The sequence below is a fragment of the Homo sapiens genome, chromosome 12 (genome assembly GCF_000001405.40).
Source record: "Homo sapiens chromosome 12, GRCh38.p14 Primary Assembly".
NCBI classification, from domain to species: Eukaryota; Metazoa; Chordata; class Mammalia; order Primates; family Hominidae; genus Homo; species Homo sapiens.
Window position 1 is genome coordinate 110,576,516 of NC_000012.12, and position 21,693 is coordinate 110,598,208.

The window sequence follows — 21,693 nt, forward strand, 5'->3', positions numbered from 1 at the left end:
ATATAATGGAACATTATTCAGTCATAAAAAGGGAGGAAGTACTGACACATGCTCCAACATGGATGAACTCTGAAAACATGCTAAGGGAAAACATGCTAAGGAAAAGGCCACATATTACACGATCCATTTGTATGAAATGTCTCAAACACAAATCCACAGACAGAATCTGCTTTCTGTTGCCAGGGAGATGGGGAGTGACTGCTAATGGATAGGGGGTTTCTTGGGGGGTGATGAAAAACATTCTGGAACTAGATAGTGGCAGTGGCTGTACAACTTTGTGAATGTAAAAACTACTGAACTGTACACTTTAAAAGGATACATGCTATGGAATGTGAATTATACATATCAGTTTTTAAAAATTCACTCAAGGGGCTGGGCACGTGGTTCACGCCTGTAATCCCAGCACTTTGGGAGGCCAAGGCAGGTGGATCACCTGAGGTCAGGAGTTCGAGACTAGCCTGGCCAACATGGTGAAACCCCGTCTCTACTAAAAATATAAAAATTGGCCAGGTGTAATGGTGGGTGCCTGTAATCCCAGCTACTTGGGAGGCTGAGGCAGAAGAACTGTTTGAACCCAGGAGGCAGAGGTTGCAGTGAGCCAAGATCGCGCCACTGCTCTCCAGCCTGGGCACAAGGGCGAGACTCTGTCTCAAAAAAAAAAAAAAAAAAAAAATTCACTCAGGGTCATATTTGCTATCAACAGGTAGATGATGCTGGAATCTGACTTTAAGAAAATTATGGCATGTCCTGCACATGTATCCTGGAATTTAAAAAAAGTAAAATTAAAAAAAAAAAGAAAAAAAAATTATGGTAATATAATGAGAGTGGTGTCCTGACATGGCTTGAAATCTAGCTGAGGAAAATTCCAACAAGGACTTCTTGAAAGACTGAAGTCAGTGGGTGCACACACACACTCTGAAGGTGACTACTTTTTTAAAAGGACAACTCACTTTCAGAATAGAGGTTCTATAAGTACATTAAAATGATCATGACTGTTTGAAAACACCAAATTCTACCTCATCCATTCACTTCCTAAATATAATTTAGATCTTAATTTTGTTCATATGATCTTTACACCTCAAGACAACTACTTTTAAGACTGACATTACTCACAAAAACACTTCAAAATCCTGACCACGATCAAAATCAGATCCAAAGGCTGGGATATGAAATTATTTTAATTTCACTTTTAGGTTTCAAGTTTAAGCTTAAATAAACATCCCACAGTTTCATAATAAATACTTTACAACTCAATATTCAGAGGTCAAAATTTATATGGCACAGACCAGGCTGCCATTTTTAAAATAAGTGGTTTCTCTAAACTGTGGTTTAGCATGCAGAGGAGTTTTTGTTGCACATCAGTTATGAGTCAGAGTGAATAAAGAAGTTATAAACACACACACACACACACCCAGGAAAAGCATTCGAAGCACAAAAGTATCAGGAGACTGACTGGTTTTTAATTCACATATATCATCAAGAAAACTTGACCAGTGGTCTAACGGGGACAGGACTGGGAAAGGGAGTCTCAGATGAGAGACTGAGATAGGTGTCAGCCTCAGTTCCACCAATAACTAGTAGAGTAACCTTGGGGAAGTCATCTGACTCTCTGGAGGCCTGTTTTCTCATCAGTGAGGTGAAAAAAACTAGACTCCAAGGTTTCTAAGTGTTACAATTCTCAACAGTCTTTGATTCTATTGTTAAGTAGCATAAGGCTGTGGGAAGCCCAGGTATTACAACATGCAGTTCTCATATTTTTGTGCACCTAGGAAGCCATGCCACGTAGAGTAATAAGAGAACTCAGAATTAGCCACAGGGAAGAAGGAACAAGAAAAGTGTACACGGCTCCCGCTAGTACTGGTTTACTCCTGTTGGACCTAGTAAAGAGAAAGCACCTTTGACAATTTTCTAGAGAATGATAGGAGTGGTTCCTATGTCTCACCACACCCAACATAGTCAGTTTTTCCGAAACGAAATACAGTGGGGACTATACAAAATGTTGTGAAGCACCAAGCACTATTAGTCACTGCATGACTAATAGGACAGATCAATTTTAAATTAAAGAAACAAAAGAGATTTCTCTTTCTCATATAAAAAGAAAGAAACAGCTTTCATTCCAGTCAAGGAGTCCTAGATGACCACAGTGAATAATCTGTTACACGGATACTCAGTAATAAATATGGTGTCAATTCAAAGAAAATTAATTATCTACAGAACCAAAAGGTTCAAAAGCACTTAAGTTCAACGTAACGTTATTACTCAACATAGCCTTTTAATGTAATTCAGGTTGTAACTCCAACCTCTAGAGTTGACAGCAGTATTAAAGAGTCATTCAAAGTCATCACCTTAGCCAGACACTGTGGCTCACACCTGTAATCCTAGCACTTTGGGAGGCTGAGGCAGGTGGATGACATGAGGTCAGGAGTTCGACACCAGCCTAGGCAACGTGGCGAAACCTCATCTCTACTAAAAAAATACAAACAATTAGCCGGGTGAGGTGGCACATGCCTGTAGTCCCAGCTACTCGGAAGGCTGAGGCACAAGAATCGCTTGAAGCTGGGAGGCAGAGGTTGCAGCGAGCCAAAATCGTGCCACTGCACTCCAGCCTGGGTGGCAGAGCAAGACTCTATCTCAAAAAAAAAAAAAAGTCATCACCTTTTACGGTATCAACTAAATAGAAGTCACCATCATATGAACTGGTTCAGGACAGCCAAGGATCAAATGAGGCCAACTCATGAAGTTATTTCAGGTGGCTTCCAAGACTGCCGTCCGGAAGAGCTCCTCCACAACAGGACAGTCCTGGAGAACCTGTCCTTCACTGCCCCTATCCCCCACCATTTGCATATGTGCATGCTTGATCTTTGTCAAACATGGCTAACAACCACCTTTTGGTCACATCAGCTACCAGTATCTGACTGTGTCTGCTGGCATTCCCTTCAAGGGTACAGAGCTGGGGTTCTTGATCTGATTCCTATGCATGGACCTCCAGGTGGTATCAGAGGAGTCATGGAGTCAGCAAAGTTCCTAAGAGCCCATGCAAAATTTTATCTCTGTGCACAGGGTCCTGATCCTCAGGGGTTGTGAATCAAGGAAAGCTAAAAACCACTGGTTTAGTGCTACATACAAAACAGGAATCTACTGAAGGTGCCCGTGACACCTGTCATTTGAGGTGCAGAACAAAGGGTGCCATCTATTCAAAGCAAAAGTAAAATATGGGCTGGGCGCGGTGGTTCATGCCTGTAATCCCAGCAGTTTGGGAGGCCGAGGCTGGTGGATCACCTGGGGTTAGGAGTTCGAGTACAGCCTGGCCAACATGATGAAACCCCGTTTGTACTAAAAATACAAAAATTAGCCGGGCGTGATGGCGCGCGCCTGTAATCCCAGCTACTCAGGTGGCTGAGGCAGGGGAATCACTTAAACCCGGGAGGCGGAGGTTGCAGTGAGCCGAGATGGCGCCATTGCACTCCAGCCTGGGCAACAAGAGCGAAACTCCATACCCGCACCCCCCACCCACCAAAAAAAAAAAAGAAAAGAACAAAAGAAAATGTGATATGATGGTCAGAAGCTGTAGTCACTAAGGGTCAGATCGTCCATTCCCTTTATCCCCTAGTCCAGATAAACCAAAGGAGACTCAAGAGAGACTCTGCCCAAGACCACAAATCACAGAGCTACTAAGTGGCAAAGCTGAGCATCAAAGTTCACTGGATTTCCACCAGGATGTCAGGGCATGAAATTATGTTTATACTTTTTTAGAATGGGTTTGACCAAAATCCCCCCAATTCTTGTAAATATCCCACTCCATTAAGAAGGTAGCCTTCCAAAATTTTATTGTATTTTTTTTGAGACGGAGTCTTGCTCTGTTACCCAGGCTGGAGTGCAGTGGTGTGATCTCGGCTCACCGCAACCTCCATCTCCCAGGTTCAAGCAATTCTCCTGCCTCAGCCTCGCTAGTAGCTGGGACTACAGGCGTGTGCCACCACACCTGCCTAATTTTTGTATTTTTTAGTAGAGACGGGGTTTTGCCATGTTGGCCAGGCTGGTCTCGAACTCCTAACCTCAGGTGATCCGCCCACCTCCGCCTCCCAAAGTGCTGGGATTACAGGCGTGAGCCACCACGCCCGGTCTAGCCTTCCAAAATTTTAAAATCAAGCTTCCATATAGAATTTGATACATTTAAATACTCCCCAAATCATCAATCAAGTCACGGATCTTTCACAAAAGTCGCATACAGATTTTTTATTTTATTTTTTTTTTGAGACGGAGTCTCGCACTGTCGCCCAGTCTGGAGTGCAGTGGCACGATCTTGGCTCACTGAAGCCTCCACCTCCCTGGTTCAAGAGATTCTCCTGCCTCAGCCTGTTGAGTAGCTGGGACTATAGGCATGCGCCATCACGCCCGGCTAATTTTTGTATTTTTAGTAAAGACTGGGTTTCACCATATTGGTCAGTCTGGTCTTGAACTCTTGACCTCATGATCCACCCGCCTCAGCCTCCCAAAGTGCTGGGATTATAGGAGTGAGCCACCACGCGCAGCCCAGCATACAGATTTATGAGGTGAACCTTAGAGGCTCATTATCCCCTATCCTATGTTATGAACACAACTTTAAGAAGCAACACAGGGGCCAGGCTCACACTTGTAATCCCAGCACCTTGGGCGGCCGAGGCGAACACGAGGCCGATCACGAGGTCAGGAGTTCGAGACCGGCCTGGCCAACACAGTGAAACCCCATCTCTACTAAAAATACAAAAATTAGCTGGACATGGTGATGGGCGCCTATAATCCCAGCTACTCGGGAGGCTGAAGCAGGAGAATCGCTTGAACCGGGGAGGCGGAGGCTGCAGTGAGCCAAGATTGCGCCACTGCACTCCAGCCTGAGTGACAGAGGTAGACTCCGTCTGAAAAAAAAAAACGCAGCACAGGTCACAAGCTCATTGAGTGAGGCACTTCTAAATGTATCAGGGAAGACAGCCACTGACAGCTGACTTCGGGGTGGATTTGTACAATTTCAATCTGCAAGCTGCAGGACCTTTCTAAGTCTCCCTCTCATGTTAATATCAATAGCGTTGCCTAAACATTAAATGCTTTTTCTTCAACCCAGGTAATGGGGTCATTCATAAATTAAACTGAGAACAACCTTTCCAGTCCCATGTTCACAAACACTACATGTAGTAGAACCAAAGATACTAGGCAATTATTCTGAGATCAGATTAAAAAATAATTACTGTCATAAAAAAGTTACAGAATCATTTGTTCCAATGCCAAACTCTGCCTCAGCATATGAAATTTAAAGTAACCAAAAACTTAGTCTCACCTGGGAAGGGAAATCAAAGTGACATTTGAACCCAAGTTCAATGACAACACGTCCTTCAATTTCAAAGCGAGCGCATTGCTTTATTCATTCAAAGAGTTTTAACGGCACAATATCCCATAGCATACACAAAATCTCCTAAGGCGTACATTATGGTAAAGTTTCTGACTGCTTGTGAACTATATTTAGCCCTTTCTGCCAGCTCTCTCCGTAGTCTCCCACCCCCAAAAGGTATAACTGGAATAGGCCTCAGGGAGCACCTGTGGCCTGAAAAGGCTGTGACCAATCCTCAGAGCTTTACCGGCTGCAATCTACAAGTAGGCTCGACCATTCTATTTTGGATCAAGGAGACTCTGCCAACCCCCAAGTGACCGCAAGTGGACAAGATCAATTTGGGAGAAAACGCTGTGAGGGTTTTTTCGCCAAGCCAGCAGCCCCCACCGCCACACTCCGAAAAGGGTGAAGATTTGGTTACCATCCAGGCGGCGAAAGAATACGGCCGGGCTGTCTGGGGGCTCACGACTGCCTGTCGGCCGGCGATCCCGCAGCCTGGGCCGGGCTGTGGTGTCGGGAGCACGCGAAGAGGCAGGGATCCCCGGGGCATGCGGAGAGGGAACCAGAACGAGGTTAGGAGCCTGCAGGTGTCGCCCAGGGAGGGGACGAGGTCGCCCAGGGCTGGCACGGCCGAGTGAGACCGAGAGTGTGGCTCTGGACTCGGACAGACCGGTCACACTCTCGGGTTGTGACCTTGAGCACACGACTTGACCGCTGTGCGCCTTAGTTTCCTCCTCTCTAAAATGGGGGTCGTTCAAGCGGAAAACGCGCCTCGGAGCGCTTGGCACGGCGCCTGGCGCATAGTAAGCGCTCCCTCCATGTGAGCGCTCTGGCTCCTTTCGCCGCCGGGAGGAACTGGGGAAGCCCCGCGCGGGGAGTCCCCGGGAGGCGGATCCGAGGCTGGGGCAAGGGAACCGGGTCGGGGACTCACCGAGCACGTCCGCGGAACGGTGCCGGGCCACGAAGCACGCGTCGTCCCCGTAGCACGCGCCCTTCTTGAGGAGGCCCTTACGGAAGTCCTTCCCGAAGCCGCAGCCGGCCGTCACCAGTCCGTAGTCGCCGCCGCCGCCGCCGCCGGCCCTGGGGTCGGTCTGCGAGAGGCCGCCGAGCACGGCGCGGGCCACCAGCCGCCCGTACGAGAGGACCGAGAACATCGCCGCCGCCGCCCCCCCGAGGAGGCGGGGGGCCGGGGGAGCAGGAGGACGCGGAGGCCCGGAGCCGGCTCTCTCCTCAGCCGCAGTCGCGCCGCCGCTGGGGCGCTCCTCAGGGCGGCGCGCAGTGGCCGCCGCCGCCCCTGCCCGACGCGCGGGGCCTCGCACGCGCTCAGCCGCGCGCACCGGAGCCAGAGCGAGGTCAGAAGCGGCGGCTCCTCCGCCTCAGCCCAACTGAAGTCCCGGCTGCAGCGGCCGCCGCCGCCGCCGCCATCTTCCGCTCCACTAGCGTGTTCCGGGCGGTGCCGGCAGCACCGCCCCCTCCCTGGCCCTGCCCCTAGCCCCGCCCCGATTCACCGCTCAGGCCCAAGCCCAGCCCCTTGGGCTCGCTGCCTTATGCAGTCACCAAGGTTGAACATGCGCAGAGGGTGCGGACGCAGTGTCTCTTGGGAATTATAGTCCCGGAGTCGTAGTCACTTTTGACTTGGCTGCCAAAGATTTAGGACCTAGGGGGATTCCTCAGACGCGGGACCTATGTTAAGTTAGTAGGAATTGCAGGTGGGCCACGTGAGGGTTTTCTACCCTGTTTTAACCGTATCTTTTAAAGCCTGTTTTAAATAAATAACGCCACCATTCCTTTAAACAAAAACCTGCAAGAAACCAGAATGGAGTCACATAATGAGAAACAGAGGTACACAGATCTAGTGACACCTCCCCAAGTAATATACTGGAAGGATTTAGGGCGGCAAACTGTTTGGAAAGAAGAGACTTTTTGTAGTCTTTTAGGAAAAATTGAGAAAATGTTATGTGTCCCTATCAGAGTGGGAGGGGACACAGATGGTGTCATGTCCCTTTTGCTAACTGGCCTCTAGCCATGCTCACAGCTGTCTCAAGACCTTTGCCCTTGCTTTCGCTTCTACCCTTTGGAATGTAATTCGTTTACCTGAGGGTCCTGTGTTTTCTGTTGCTGTATCCCCAGAACACGTGAGCACCCAGTAAATATGTGAATGAATGAAAGAATGAATGAATATTTCACTAGATTCTAAGTTTCCCAAGGACAAGGATCATTTGCTGCTCAATTATTAGAATCTAAAGCAATGCCTGGCACACAGTAGGAGAGTGTGTAAATGTCTGTGGAATAAAAGAAGGAATAATGGGCTGGGCGTGGTGGCTCACACCTGTAATCCCAGCACTTTGGAAGGCCGAGGTGGGCAGATCACTTGAGGTCAGGAGTTCAACACCAGCCTGGCCAACATGGTCTCTACTGAAAATACAAAAAAAAATTAGCTGGGCTTGGTGACAAACGATTGTAATGCCAGCTACTCAGGAGGCTGAGACAGGAGAATCGCTTGAACCTGGGAGGCAGAGGTTGCAGTGAGCCGAGACAGCGCCACTGCATTCCAGCCTGGGAGACAGAGCTGGACTCCATCTCAAAAAAAAAAAAAGGAAGGAGTAATGGAATAAGAACACAAATGATAAAAGAAAGTCATGTTTGTTGAATACAGGAATGATTGAGTGAATGGGGTTCACAAACAACAGAAAATGAGCTTTGGGGCAAGTAATTCAATTTAGAGTAATTTTTAGTTTGATTGAAACATATATTTCTCAGAAACAGCAGTCTTTTTCTAGTTCACTTTTAACAAGACCATTGTTACTTTGGGGATTCCCACCTCGTTTTTAAATGGTCCTTTTTTATGCTTTCTTAATATATTTAAAATGCTGCCAACTATCAACTCAACACATATTATTCCGTTATCCTAATTACTGTCATCATTAAACACTTTTGCAGTTCACAGTGTGCCAAGTACTGTCTATATATATGTTTCTGTCTTTAAGAGCTTTCATCAAAATTGGACGGAAGAAATGACTTCACGTAGTGGCATTTTGTCAAATATACAGAACCCAGAAAATGTTCATTTACTGGATAAATGGTATAGTAATGACAATAATGCATTCACACCTTCCTTTTTTTTAATGGCACAAGAATTGGAGAGTGCCCAGAAGAGGGGGTAGTGCCTCTCGGAATCCTCTACTTGGCATTTATATTGCTGCCAGCTGTGCTAAAGGTAGCTCTTTCAAGTACACATACCACTACCAGATCCCAGTCAGTCTGGCAGGTAATTCTACCCCAAGGACAAACTTTTTAAAATAGCATGTCAACCCTATTTCTTGCCTCGTCAAACTCCTTCAGACTGCTCCTACTTTTCCTTTTCAGGGCATATATTACCTAATTTCCATGTCAGTCACAAGAACTGGTTTGATGGGATGAGTAGGAACCTAAAATGTGACTCTAAAGCCAGTAACTTCTGCTCCGATGGGGCTGCTGTTTTCATGATTAAGTGATACCAGTGCCTTGAGTTTCCGGCAAATGAATTTCCTGCAAGTGAGTTTCCTGCAAATGAGTTGCCCACAGAAGCACGTGGCGAACAGAATCCTTCTCAAAGCTCCTTTGCAAGTTTTAAAGGAACAGGAGATAGGGCCTCGGGTTCTCTTGAATCATTTATTCCAGAGCCAGCTCTGAAGTTTCATCACCATGGGGGAAGCCAGGAGAGGGTACTTTACAAAACACCTCCCTTCCCGTTCCTTCTCCCAGGAACACAATTCACGTTTGACATTTTGTTGGACTTAAAAAGGCCTGGATTTTCTTCCTTAACAGAGTTACATTCCTAGCACTTCAGGGATTCCTGAGAGGTCAGTTGCCACTCTTAAAGGTGAACAAGTGTGGTGAAAATACCATCTGGGCTCCCAGGGCACCTCTATGACATTAGGAAAGAGCTTTGCACTAAAGTCAGCCTCCGCTCCTAAAAAAACCAAACAAACAACAACAACAAAAAGAAGGCATGACATTTCCTAGTGAGATTTTCTGCCAGACTGGTAGGTTGATCTCTTTGGGTTCCTTTTTGCTAACCTATTCACAATGAGCACTAATTAGCTTACAGCAAGGTGTCTCAAGCTTGACACTATTGACATTTTGGGCAGGATGATTCTTTGCTGTTAGGGCTGTCCTGTGCATGCGTTGGAGGGGGCTTAGCAGCATCCCTGGCCTCTACCCACTAGAAGCCAGAAGCATGCCACCTCTGTGCCCCCAGGACAACCAAAACTGTCTCCAGATATTGCCAAATGTCCCCTGGGGGGCAAAATTGCTCCCTGATTTAGAGCCACTGTATTACGGCAATGCCATGCAAATGAGCAAATATTTGTTGAGCACTTATTATGTTCAAGTCTCTAGGCTAAGGATAAAAAAAATCAGTGATTTTGTGGCAGTCACAGTGCAGTAGGAAGGTTAAAATTAAGTAAATGTATTAAAATAATAATAACAGACTGGGTGCGGTGGCTAATGCCTGTAATCCCAGCACTTTGGGAGGCCGAGTGGGGGGTGGATCACTTGAGGTCAGAAGTTCGAGACCAGCCTGGCCAACATGGCGAAACCCTGGGTCTACTAAAAATACAAAAATTAGCTGGGAATGGTGGTGCACGCCTGTGATCCCAGCTAGTTGGGAGGCTAAGGCAGGAGAATCACTTGAACCCGGGAAGTAGAGGTTGCAATAGGCCAAGATCACGCCACTGCACTCCAGCTGGGGCAACAGAGCAAGGCTCTGGCTCAAAGTAAATAAATAAAATAATAATAAGCACCACAAGCTGAAATAAAGGAGGGGTCTGGGAAGGGGAAATGAGACCCTCTGGGGTTAGAGAACACCTGGGGCACTTCACAAAGACATGACATTTGTGAGAGGCCTGAACGGACAGACAAGTCTCTCTGTCTGTCATGCGGCATAACCAGCTCAAGAGGAGGAAAAGGATATTCAATGAATGCAGAATGTGATTGGAGAAGAGCAATGCAACCTTAGGATCTGAAAAACGAATAATAATAAATGGTGGGGCTGGGCCAGGTGCAGTGGCTCACGCCTGTAATCCAAGCACTTAGGGAGGCCAAGGCGGGTGGATCACTTGAGGTCAGGGGTTCCAGACCAGCCTGGCCAACATGGTGAAACCCCATCTCTACTAAAAATACAAAAATTAGCCGGGCGGTAGTGGCGTGCACCTGTAATCCCAGCTACTCGGGAGGCTGAGGCAAGAGAATCACTTGAGCCTGGGAGGCGGAGGTTGCGGTGAGCCAAGATCATGCCACTGCACTCCAGTCTAGGTGACAGAGTGAGACCCTGTCTCAAAAAAAAAAATGGTGAGGCTAAGAGCTGGGCAAGCTGGCAAGTGCCTGTAGTCCCAGTTACCTGGGAGGCTAAGGTTATAGAGTGTCAGGATGGAGCCTGTGAATTGCTACTGCACTCCACCCTGGACAATGTAGTGAGACCCCATTTCTAAAACAAACAAAAGCAGTATTTTAAGGAGTCAGACACAAAATACCACATACTGTATGATTCCATTTATATGAAATGTCCAGAATAGGCAAATCCATAGAGACAGAAAGTAGATTAGTGGTTGCCAGGGACTTGGGGAAGGGACAAATGGGGAGTGACTGCTCATGGGTACAGGGTTTCTATTTGGAGTGGTGAAAATATTCTGGAAGTAGATAGTGGCAATGGTTGCACAAGTTTATAAATATATGAATAATCGCTGAACTATACACTTTAAAAAGGTGAATATGGCCGGGCATGGTGGCTCATGCCTGTAATCCCAGCACTTTGGGAGGCCGGGGCAGGAGGATTGCTCGAGTCCAGGAGTTCAAGACCAGCCTGGGCAACATAGTGAGACCTCTTCTCAATAAAAAATCAAAAAATTCCTGTAATCCCAGCACTTTGGGAGGCTGAGGCGGGCAGATCACGAGATCAGGAGATCGAGACCATCCTGGCCAACATGGTGAAAACCCGTCTCTACTAAAAAATACAGAAAAAATTAGCTAAGCATGGTGGCCCGTGCCTGTAATCCCAGCTACTAGGGAGGCTGAGGCAGGAGAATCACTTGAACCAGGGAATCAGAGGTTGCAGTGAGCCAAGATTGCGCCACGGCACTCCAGCCTGGCGACAAAGCGAGATTCCATCTAAAAAAAAAATTTGGCTGAGTATACTGGTGCACATCTACAGTCCCAGCTACTTGAGAGGCTGAGGTGGGAGGATTGCTTGAGCATGGGAGGTCAAGACTGCAGTGAACTGTGATCGTGCCACTGCACTTCAGCTTAGGCAGCACAAGTGAGACCCTGTCTCAAAAAACGGGGTGGGGGGATGAATATTATGTGATTTATATCTCAATTAAAAAATAATTTAGTGCCAGGCATGGTGGCTCATGCCTGTAATTCCAGCACTTTGAGAGGCCGAGGTGAGCGGATTACCTGAGGTCAGGATTTCGAGACCAACCTGGCTAATATGGTGAAACCCTGTCTCTACTAAAATATAAAAATTAGCCAGGTGTAGTGGTGGGCGCCTGTAATCTCAGCTACTCGGGAGGCTGAGGCAGGAGAATCACTTGAACCCAGGAGGCGGAGGTTGCAGTGAGCTAAGTTCATGCCACTGCACTCCAGCCTGGGCGACAGAGTGAGACTCTGTCTCAAAAAAATAATAAGAAGAATTTAGGACCTAATGCAGGGGGTCTTATATGCTAAGCTGAGGCTACTTAATGCTGGAGACAGCAAGGGGTCACCAAATGCCTTTAATATGCCAAATAATAATAGTGGTAATGATAATAACAAGAATAAGAGCAATGGAGCCCATGGGTTAAGCATGTACCATGTGTTTTGCCTGCATCCGCATCCTCTTCTCTTTTTTTTTTTTGAGACAGAGTCTCACATTGTTGCCCAGGCTGGAGTGCAGTCATGCGATCTCAGCTCACTGCAACCTCCACCTCCCGAGTTCAAGTGATTCTCCTGCCTCAGCCTCCTGAGTAGTTGAGACTACAGGCGTGTGCCACCATGCCTGGCTAATTTTTGTGTTTTTAGTACAGACAGGGTTTTCCCATGTTGGCCAGGCTGATCTCAAACTCCTGGCCTCAAGTGATCTGCCCACCTCAGCCTCCCAAAGTGCTGGGATTACAGGTGTGAGCCACCACACACCTGGCCTGCATCCTCTTCTCTGATCACTTTTTTTTTTTTTTTTTGAGACAGAGTCTTGCTCTGTGGCCAGGCTGGAGTGCAATGGCGTGATCTCGGTTCACTGCAACCTCCACCTCCTGCGTTCAGGTGATTCCCCTGCCTCAGCCTCCTGAGTAGCTGGGACTACAGGCACATGCCACCACGCCCAGCAAATTTTTTTTTTGTATTTTAGTAGAGATGGGGTTTCACCATGTTGGCCAGGATGGTCTCGACCTCCTGACCTCGTGTTCTACCTGCCTCGGCCTCCCAAAGTGCTGGATTTACAGGCATGAGCCTCCGTGCCTGGCCTGATCACCTATTTAAATCACCCAATAGTGCCATCTGCATTTTTCTTCATAACACATAGTGCTTATTTATTTTGTTGAATGTTTGTCTCCTCCCTGACTAAATGATAAATGCCACGAGAGCAGGAAATTTTGTCTGTTTTATTCATGACTTTAGGCCAGATGCAGTGGCTCACGCCTGTAATCCCAGTATTTTGGGAGGCGGAGGCAGGAGGATCACTTGAGGCCAGGAGTTCAAGACCAGCCTGGACAATATAATGAGACCCTGTCTGTACAAAGAAAAAAAAAAAAACCCAAAAACTGGCCAGGTGTGGTGGCATACACCTGTAGTCCTACTCAAGAGGCTGAGATGGGAGAATCACCTGAGCCAGGGGAGGTGGAAGTTGCCATGAGCTGTGATCATACCAGTGTACTCCAGGCTGGGCAACAGAGTGAGGCCTTGTATAAAAAAGAAAAAAAAAAAAGACTTTATATGGTGTCCAAAATAATGTCTGGCATATAATAGGTGCTAAATAAATAACCTAACAAGTGAATGCTGTTGAATACAAGAACCTGGGAAATCACATGTAACAAGCAACAAGCTGAAGAAAGCGTTGAGTAATATATTCAACTCGCTAGGCAGAGCTGGGCTGAACTGGAGAAGTGTCCCTGAGACACTTAATGCCTTCACTGCAAAGCCCTTTCGAAGTCACTAACCTTTGGCTGTTCTTTCCCTTTAACTCATCTTGCTTTGCGTCATGTGTGATGGTCATGTTTTTCCCCCCTAGAATCCATTCTCCTGCTTCTCTGATTATTGTATTTTGATTTTCCTTGGAGGAACAATCCAACACCCCCTAGGTTCATGCAGTTTATGTGGAACTGGACCAGGGCTCCAAGGATGAACATGTGGCCTAGGTCTGGCCAATCACAGCATTATATTCTGTTGCTAGCAGTGGTTGGTCCAGAGAGAAGGCACATGACCCAAGCCAGACCAAGGAAACTTCATTATGGGATTTTGCTGAAAGTGTTAGGAAGGAGAAATTATCACCAAGGTTTGTTTCTAAGCTGGTAGAATGCAAGCTTGGAGCTGCTGATGGCCATTTTTTTCTTTTCTTTTGTTGTTGTTGTTATTGTTGAGATGGAGTCTTGCTCTGTTGCCCAGGCAGGAGTGCATTAGTGCGATCTTGGCTCACTGCAACCTCGCCTCTCGGGTTCAAGCAGTTCTCCTGCCTCAGTCTCCCAAGTAGCTGGGATTACAGGCAGCTGCCACCACGCCTGGCTAATATTTGTATTTTTAGTAAAGATGGGGTTTTACCATGTTGGCCAGGCTGGTCTTGAACTCCTGAACTCAAGTGATCTGCCCATCTCAACCTCCCGAAGTTCTGAGATTACAGGTGTGAGCCACCGTACCCGGTCTGATGGCCATTTTTGCTGATACTTGGGAAGAACCAGCCTGAGAATGAAGTCAATACAGAGAGAAGCAGAGCCTAGAGATGGTAAGAAACAGAGGCCTGGTAAATGTCAATCAAACCCTGAATCCAGCTTTGCCTGAGGGAGGATCAGTCTCTGAACTAATATGAGTTCCCTATGTTGCTTTAGCCACTTTGATTTTGCCTTGTAATGCAGTGAATTCTAACAAACACATCACGTGATCCAAGTACCATGACTACAGTTACTAAATCAAAAACAAATCCCGAAACCAAAAGCAACTGTTTGAAGGGAACTTATCCTCTACTTACTTATATAAGCAGAGAGGGAACTTCCGCTTTTCAATAGAGAAGCTACTGAAGGAAAACTCATCCCTTTCTCTGGTACCTCCATGAGTGAGGAGTGATTTGCCTAATAGTGGGTTTGGGAGAAGATGCTGAGTTTGTTGCCTGGTCCCTTTCTCTTTTTTTCTTTTTGCTATGGCCTGACCTTTAGACACTGCTGTTTTCCTCCTTCACCATGAGGAGCCTGTCCCTGTGAAAGACATTTGCAGTAACCCAGCCTGTGGCTGGGTAAATTAGTTTAATCCAGAGGGAAATTGCATGCACCACTAAAGCCACATTCTCCAATCAGCCTTATCCAGAAAACAAACTCTAGAGCTCTAGTTTCCTGATTCATATATCTTTTTCTCAGTGGATTTGGAATTTGGAAAGGCTAAGGAGGGTGCAATTAATTATCAGCCCCATGAAACCCCAACATGTTAATTTACATATTTTCTTTAGAAAACTTTGAGAGGCAGTCCTGTGGAGATCAAATTTCTGGTGTTGTCAGGGCTCCAGGCTTAAAGGTAATTACGGGTCAAGTGTGTTCCTGACCTGGGTAGTTTGTGACAGTTACAGTGGTTCCACAGGATTTTAACTGGCTGGAGCCTGAGTACAAGGGCCTCTAGGGCAGGCCTTGACCTAACTCATGTGAGTACAGCCTTGACCTCAGCAGGCAGGCGGGACAGGGATTCGATTATTGGGGGAAAAGTCTTTCTGTCCCAGAGCAGGCTTACCTTCAAAAGGGCAGAACTTTAGTTTACCAACCTGTAGACTCCGGCGGGTAGATTTTTGCTTTTTGTAATACCTCTTTAAGCAACACTTGCGGCTGGGCAAGTTGACTTTGATTTGTGAATTGCATGAACTTTGATCACGGTTTAGCATTTGGAGAGCTCAGACTCTGGCTTTACCCATAGAATGGGGGTATATTTTATTAGTGAAAACAAATGAAAAGAACAGGGCCCTTATTGTATAGGAGATATGCTTCTTTGCGGGTGGAGGTAGATAAATTGAATGAAGACCCATAAGATAAGAAAACAGTGAGGCTTATGCCTTGAAACTTTTGTTTCTGAGAAACAGGTTTGCTTGAGAAATCAAGGAGGACCTGGACCTGGGTTGTTTGGTTTTGTTTTTTTGTGGGTTTTTTTTTTTTGAGCCAGGGTCTTACTCTGTTGCCCAGGCTGGAGTGCATGGAGTGCACGGTGCGATCTTGGCTCACTGCAACTTCCACCTCCCAGGTTCAAGCAATCCTCCCGCCTCAGCTTGGCAAGTAGCTGGGACTACAGGCGTGAGCCACCAACACTTGGATTTTTTTTTATTTTTTGTAGAGACAGGGTTTTACCATGTTGGCCAGGCTGGTCTTGAACTCCTGAGCTCAAGCAGTCCGCCTGCCTCAGCCTCCCAAAGTGCTGGGATTACAGGTGTGAGCCACCGTGGCCAGCCTGGGTTGTGTGTGGTTTTTTTTTTTTTTTGAGATGGAGTCTCACTCTGTCACCCAGGCTGAAGTGCAGTGGTGCAATCTTGGCTCACTGCAGCCTCCGCCTCCTGGGCTCAAGCGATTCTCATGCTTCAGCCTCCCGAGTAGCTGGGGTTACAGGCATGTGCCACCACACCCAGCCAATTTTTAAAAATTTTTAGTAGAGACAGGGTTTCACCATGCCTCCGCTGCTGAAAGTGCTGGGATTACAGGCATTAGCCACCGCACCTAGCCTGGGTTGTGTTTTAAAATATGCTTCTGGGCTGGGCATGGTGGCTCATGTCTGTAATCCCAGCACTATGGGAGGCCAAGGTTGGTGGATCATCTGAGATCGGGTGTTTGAGACCAGCCTGGCCAACATGGTGAAACCCCATCTCCACTAAAAATACAAACATTAGCTGGGTGTGGTGGTGGCGCATGCCTGTAATCCCAGCTACTTGCGAGGCTGAGGCAGGAGAATCCCTTGAACCCAGGAGGTGGAGGTTGCAGTGAGCTGAGATTCAGCCAGCCTGGCCTGGGCAACAAAGTGAGACTCCGTCTCTAAATAAATAAATAAATAAATAAATAAATAAATAAATATAAAAAAAATATGCTTCTGTTGTGCTACCAGAACAGAACCAGCAGAAGAGTGAAAGACAAATAAAGGAAGATCTGCTGACTAAACTGGAGGAGGGTGGGATTTTTTTTTAAAAAAAACATGATCTTGCTCTATCACCCAGGCTGGAGTGCAGTGGCCCGATCATAGCTCACTGCAGCCTCAAACTCCTGGGCTCAAGCAATCCTCCCACCTCAGTCTCCCAAAGTGCTGGGATTACAGGGATCTTTTATAAAGAGCTAGAACTGTGATCTTAGTAGACAAGCCAAACAGATGTGGAAGAGAAGTGAATTTTTGAAGGCTTAACTAGGGGGATATATATATATATATATATACATATATGTATATATATATATATATATATTTTTTTTTTTTTTTTTTTTTGAGATGGAGTTTCACTCTTGTTGCCCAGGCTGGAGTGCAATGACACGATCTCGGCTCACCACAACCTCCGCCTCCCGGGTTCAAGCAATTCTCCTGCCTCAGCCTCCCGAGTAGCTGGGATTACAGGTATGCACCACCACACCCAGCTAATTTAGGATTTTTAGTACAGACGGGGTTTCTCCATGTTGGTCAGGCTGGTCTCAGGTGATCCACCTGCTTCAGCCTCCCGAAGTGCTGGGATTACAGGCGTGAGCCACCGCGCCCAGCCCGCTAGGTAGATATTAAGAGAAGAGACCCACAAATATACAACAACTTGAAAGGAAGTTGCAGTAATATTACAAATTACGGGAAAAAATAATATACATATATTTTGAGACAGTGTTTTACTCTGTCACCCAGGCTGGAGTGCAGTGGTGCAGTCTCGGCTCACTGTAGCCTCTACCTCCCAAGCTCAAGTGATCCTGCCACCTCAGCCTCCTGAGTACAGGAACTACAGGTGTGTGCCAACACACCTAGCTAACTTTCTTTTTTTTTGAGATGGAGTCTCACTCTGTCACCCAGGCTGGAGCGCAGGGGTGCGATCTCGGCTCTCTGCAAGCTCTGCCTCCCGGATTCACGCCATTCTCCTGCTTCAGCCTCCTGAGTAGCTGGGACTACAGGCACCTGCCACCAAGCCCAGCTAATTTTTTCTATTTTTAGTAGAGATGGGTTTCACCGTGTTACACACCTGGCTAACTTTTGTATTTATTTTTTATTTTTTTTACAGACGAGGTTTCACCATGTTCCCCCTGCTGACCTCGAAATCCTGAGCTCAGGCAATCCACCTGTCTTGGCCTCCCAAAGTTCTGGGATTACAGGTGTGAGCCACCGTGGCTGGCCAAAAAATAAATTATTTTTTAAATGGTGTGAGAACATTGGTTATCTCTCTGAAAAATTAAACGGTGGGCTAGGCATGGCGGCTCACGCCTATAATCTCAGCACTTTGGGAGGCCGAGGCGGATAAATCACTTGAGGCCAGGAGTTTGAGACTAGCCTGATCAACATAGCGAAATCCAATCTCTACTAAAATACAGAAATTAACTGGTGTGGTGGCTTATGCCTGTAGTCCCAGCTACTCAGGAGGCTGAGGCAAGAGAATCGCTTAAGCCCAGGAGGCAGAAGTTGCAGTTAGCCAAGATCATGCCACTGCACTCCAGCCTGGGCAACAAAGTGAGACTCTGTCTTTAAAAAAAAAAAAGTTAAACTGGGTCCCAAACTCACATTATATACAAGAGTAAATTCCAAGAGTAAAAAGAAATATTGAAAAGTCTTAGAATAAAATATAGAATATTGGGATAAGAAATGGCAGCTTCAATAATATATAAAAGTGCACAAGCTGTTAAGGAAAATTTAGATCAACTTGACCACATTAAAAGATACAGTTTAGCTGGGTGCGGTGGTTCACACCTGTAATCCCTGCACTTTGGGAGGCCGAGGTGGGCGGATTGCTTGAGCCCAAGAATTTGAGACCAGCCAGGCCAACATGGTAAAATCCCATCTCTACTAAAATACAAAAATTAGCCGGGCATGGTGGCACATGCCTGTAGTCCTAGCTACTCGAGAGGCTGAGGTGAGAGGATCGCTTGAGCCCGGGAGGTTGAGGCTCCAGCCTGGGTGACACAGTAAGACCCTGTTTCAAAAAAAAAAAAAAAAAAGTAATAAAAGTTCCTCAAAATTGATCAAAGATCTGTGTGTCAGAGCCAAAACTATAAAATTCTTAGAAAAAAAACAGAGGGAGAAAGCTTCATGACATTGGATTTGGCCGTGATTTTTTTGGATACGACACCAAAAGCACAGGCAACAAAAGAAAAAATACATCAGTTGGATTGTATCAAAATTTAAAGCTTCTGTGCATCAGACACAATCAACAAAAAGGCAAGCAACAGAATGAGGGAAAATTTTTGCAAGTCATATATTTGATAAAGGATTAATATCCAGATAATATGGCTCACACCTGTCACCCTAGCACTTTGGGAGGCTGAGCAGGGAGGATCGCTTGAGCTCAGGAGTTCAAGACTAGCCTGGGCAACTTAGCAAGACCTCATCTCTACTAAAAATAAAAAAAACTATCCAGGAGTTGTGGCACACACCTGTAGTCCCAACTATTTGGGAGGCTGAGGTGAAAGGATTGCTTGAGCCCAGGAGGATGAGGCTGCATTGAGCCGTGATCATGCCACAGCATTCCAGCCTGGGAGACAGAGGAAGACTTTGTCTCTACAAAACAAAAACAAAAACAAACAAACAAACAGAAAAACAGAATACAGGCCAGGTGCGGTGGCTCACGCCTGTAATCCCAGCACTTTGGGAGGCCAAGGTGGGCAGATCACCTGAGGTCGGGAGTTCGAGTTGCCTGACCAACGTGGAGAAACCCCGTCTCTACTAAAAATACAAAATTAGCCAGGCCTGGTGGCACATGCCTGTAACCCCAGCTACTCAGGAGGCTGAGGCAGGAGAATCGCTTGAACCCGGGAGAGGAGGTTGTGGTGATGCAAGATCGTGCCATTGCACTCTAGCCTGGGCAACAAGAGCGAAACTCGGTCTCAAAAACAAAAACAAAAACGAAAACAAAACCCAGAAAATAAGAAGTGTTGGTGAGGATGTGGAGAAATTGGAAACCTTGTGCTCTGTTGCTGGCAATGTAAAATGGTAGTCATTATGGAAAACAGTATGGTGGCTCCTCAAAAATTAAAAATTGAATTACCATATAATTTAGCAATTCCACTTCTGAGTATATACCCAAAGGAATTGAAAGTGAGGACTTGGCTGGGCACAGTGGCTCATGCCTTTAATCTCAGCACTTTGGGAGGCCAAGGTGGGCAGATCACTTGAGGTCAGGAGTTTGAGACCAGCCTGGCCACCATGGCGAAATCCCGTCTCTACTAAAAATACAAAAATTGGTTGGATGTGGTGGTGCATGCCTGTAATCCCAGCACTTTGAGAGGCTGAGGCTGGAGGATGGCGTGAACCTTGGAGGCGGAGATTGCAGTAAGCTGGGATGCACCACTGCACTCTCAGCCTGGGCAACAGAGCGACACTGTCTCTCTCTCTCACACACACACACACGTGGGGATTCAGACAGATATTTGTTCATCCATGTTTGTAGCAGCATTATTCACAATAGCCAAGGCATGGTAGCAATCTGATTGTCCTTTGACAGATTAATGGATGAGGAAAATATGGTCCATCCATACAGTGAATTTTTTTTTTTTTTTGAGACAGAGTCTTGCTCTGTCGCCCAGGCTGGAGTGCAGTGGTGTGATCTTGGCTCACTGCAAGCTCTGCCTCCTGGTTTCATGCCATTCTCCTGCCTCAGCCTCCCAAGTAGCTGGGACAACAGGCACCCGCCCCCACGCCCGGCTAATGTTTTGTGTTTTTAGTAGAGACAGGGTTTCACTGTGTTAGCCAGGATGGTCTCAATCTCCTGACCTCGTGATCCACCTACCTTAGCCTCCCAAAGTGCTGGGATTACAGGCGTGAGCCACCGCGCCTAGCCCATACAGTGAAATATTATTTAGTCTTTTTTTGCTTTTTGAGGTGGAGTCTCGCTCTGTCGCCAGGCTGGAGTGCAGTGGCATGATCTTGGCTCACTGCAACCTCTGCCTCCCAAGTTCAAGTGATTCTCCTGCCTCAGCCTCCCGAGTAGCTGGGACTACAGGTGCGTGCCAACACACCCAGCTAATTTTTGTATTTTTAGTAGAGACGGGGTTTCACCATGTTGGCCAGGATGGTCTCCATCTCTTGACCTTGTGATCTGCCTGCCTCAGCCTCCCAAAGTGCTGGGATTACAGGCGTGAGCCCCTCGCTCGGCTATTTAGTCTTAAACAGGAAGGAAGTTCTGATTGGGTGCTATTGCTCATACTTGTAACTCCAGCACTTTGGGAGGGTGAGGCAGGAGGATCATTGTAGCCTAGGAGTTTGAGACCAGCCTGGACAACATAGCAAGATCCCATCTCTCAAAAGAAAATTTTTTTTAACTTGGCATGGTGGTGTGTACCTATAGTTTTAGCTACTGGAGAAGCTGAGGTGGGAGGATCACTTGAGTCCAGGAGTTCAAGATTACAGTGAACTATGAGTGTGCCACTGTCCCCCAAAATGGGTGATAGAGTGACACCTTGTCTCTAAAAAAGAAAAGAGAAAAAAAGGAGGAGCCAGGCATGGGGGCTCACACCTATAATCCTAGCACTTTGGGAGGCCGAGGTGAGTGGGTCACTTGAGGTCAGGAGTTCGAGACCAGCCTGGCCAACATGGTGAAACCCCATCTCTACTAAAAATACTAAGATTAGTTGGGCATGGTGGTACATGCCTATAATCCCAGCTATTAGGGAGGCTGAGGCAGGAGAATTGCTTGAACTCAGGAGGCAGAGGTTGCAGTGAGCTGAGATCATGCCAGTGCACACCAGCCAGGGTGACAGAGCAAAAAAAAAAAAAAAAAAGAAAAAAAGAAAAAAAATTTAAATCTTAACACAGGCTACAACAGGGATATACTTCTTAAAGGACATTATGCTAAGTGAAATAAGCCAGTCACAGGCAGACAAATACTTTATGGTTCCACTTAAATGGAATTTGATACCTAGGGTAGTCAAATTCATAAAGACAGAAAGCAGAATGGTGGTTGCTAGGGGTTGGGGGGGCGG

At 46.7% G+C, this 21,693-nt stretch overlaps 1 protein-coding gene across 4 annotated transcripts in view, besides 5 other annotated features; it reads right to left on the reverse strand.

Annotated features, from left to right (window-relative positions):
- The window catches only part of PPTC7 (protein phosphatase targeting COQ7), a 50,074-nt gene extending 43,271 nt beyond the window's left edge, over positions 1-6,803 (reverse strand). For all 4 annotated transcript variants that reach the window (NR_138550.2, XM_024448869.2, NM_139283.2 and 1 more), the window contains exon 1: positions 6,294-6,803. Coding sequence is in view for 3 of the 4 variants with exons in the window: in XM_024448869.2 (XP_024304637.1) it covers positions 6,294-6,516 (223 nt within the window). In the remaining variant the exon portion in view is untranslated. The remainder of the gene's footprint in view (positions 1-6,293) is intronic.
- Positions 3,139-3,388: an enhancer, noted in NCBI's record as "active region_7009". NCBI's record gives its function as "activates an Ori minimal core promoter by ATAC-STARR-seq in GM12878 lymphoblastoid cells {active_cell/tissue: GM12878}" and the evidence as "EXISTENCE:reporter gene assay evidence [ECO:0000049][PMID:35858748]".
- Positions 6,436-6,585: a silencer, noted in NCBI's record as "silent region_4857". NCBI's record gives its function as "represses an Ori minimal core promoter by ATAC-STARR-seq in GM12878 lymphoblastoid cells {active_cell/tissue: GM12878}" and the evidence as "EXISTENCE:reporter gene assay evidence [ECO:0000049][PMID:35858748]".
- Positions 6,626-6,955: a silencer, noted in NCBI's record as "silent region_4858". NCBI's record gives its function as "represses an Ori minimal core promoter by ATAC-STARR-seq in GM12878 lymphoblastoid cells {active_cell/tissue: GM12878}" and the evidence as "EXISTENCE:reporter gene assay evidence [ECO:0000049][PMID:35858748]".
- Positions 14,383-14,432: an enhancer, noted in NCBI's record as "active region_7010". NCBI's record gives its function as "activates an Ori minimal core promoter by ATAC-STARR-seq in GM12878 lymphoblastoid cells {active_cell/tissue: GM12878}" and the evidence as "EXISTENCE:reporter gene assay evidence [ECO:0000049][PMID:35858748]".
- Positions 14,453-14,502: an enhancer, noted in NCBI's record as "active region_7011". NCBI's record gives its function as "activates an Ori minimal core promoter by ATAC-STARR-seq in GM12878 lymphoblastoid cells {active_cell/tissue: GM12878}" and the evidence as "EXISTENCE:reporter gene assay evidence [ECO:0000049][PMID:35858748]".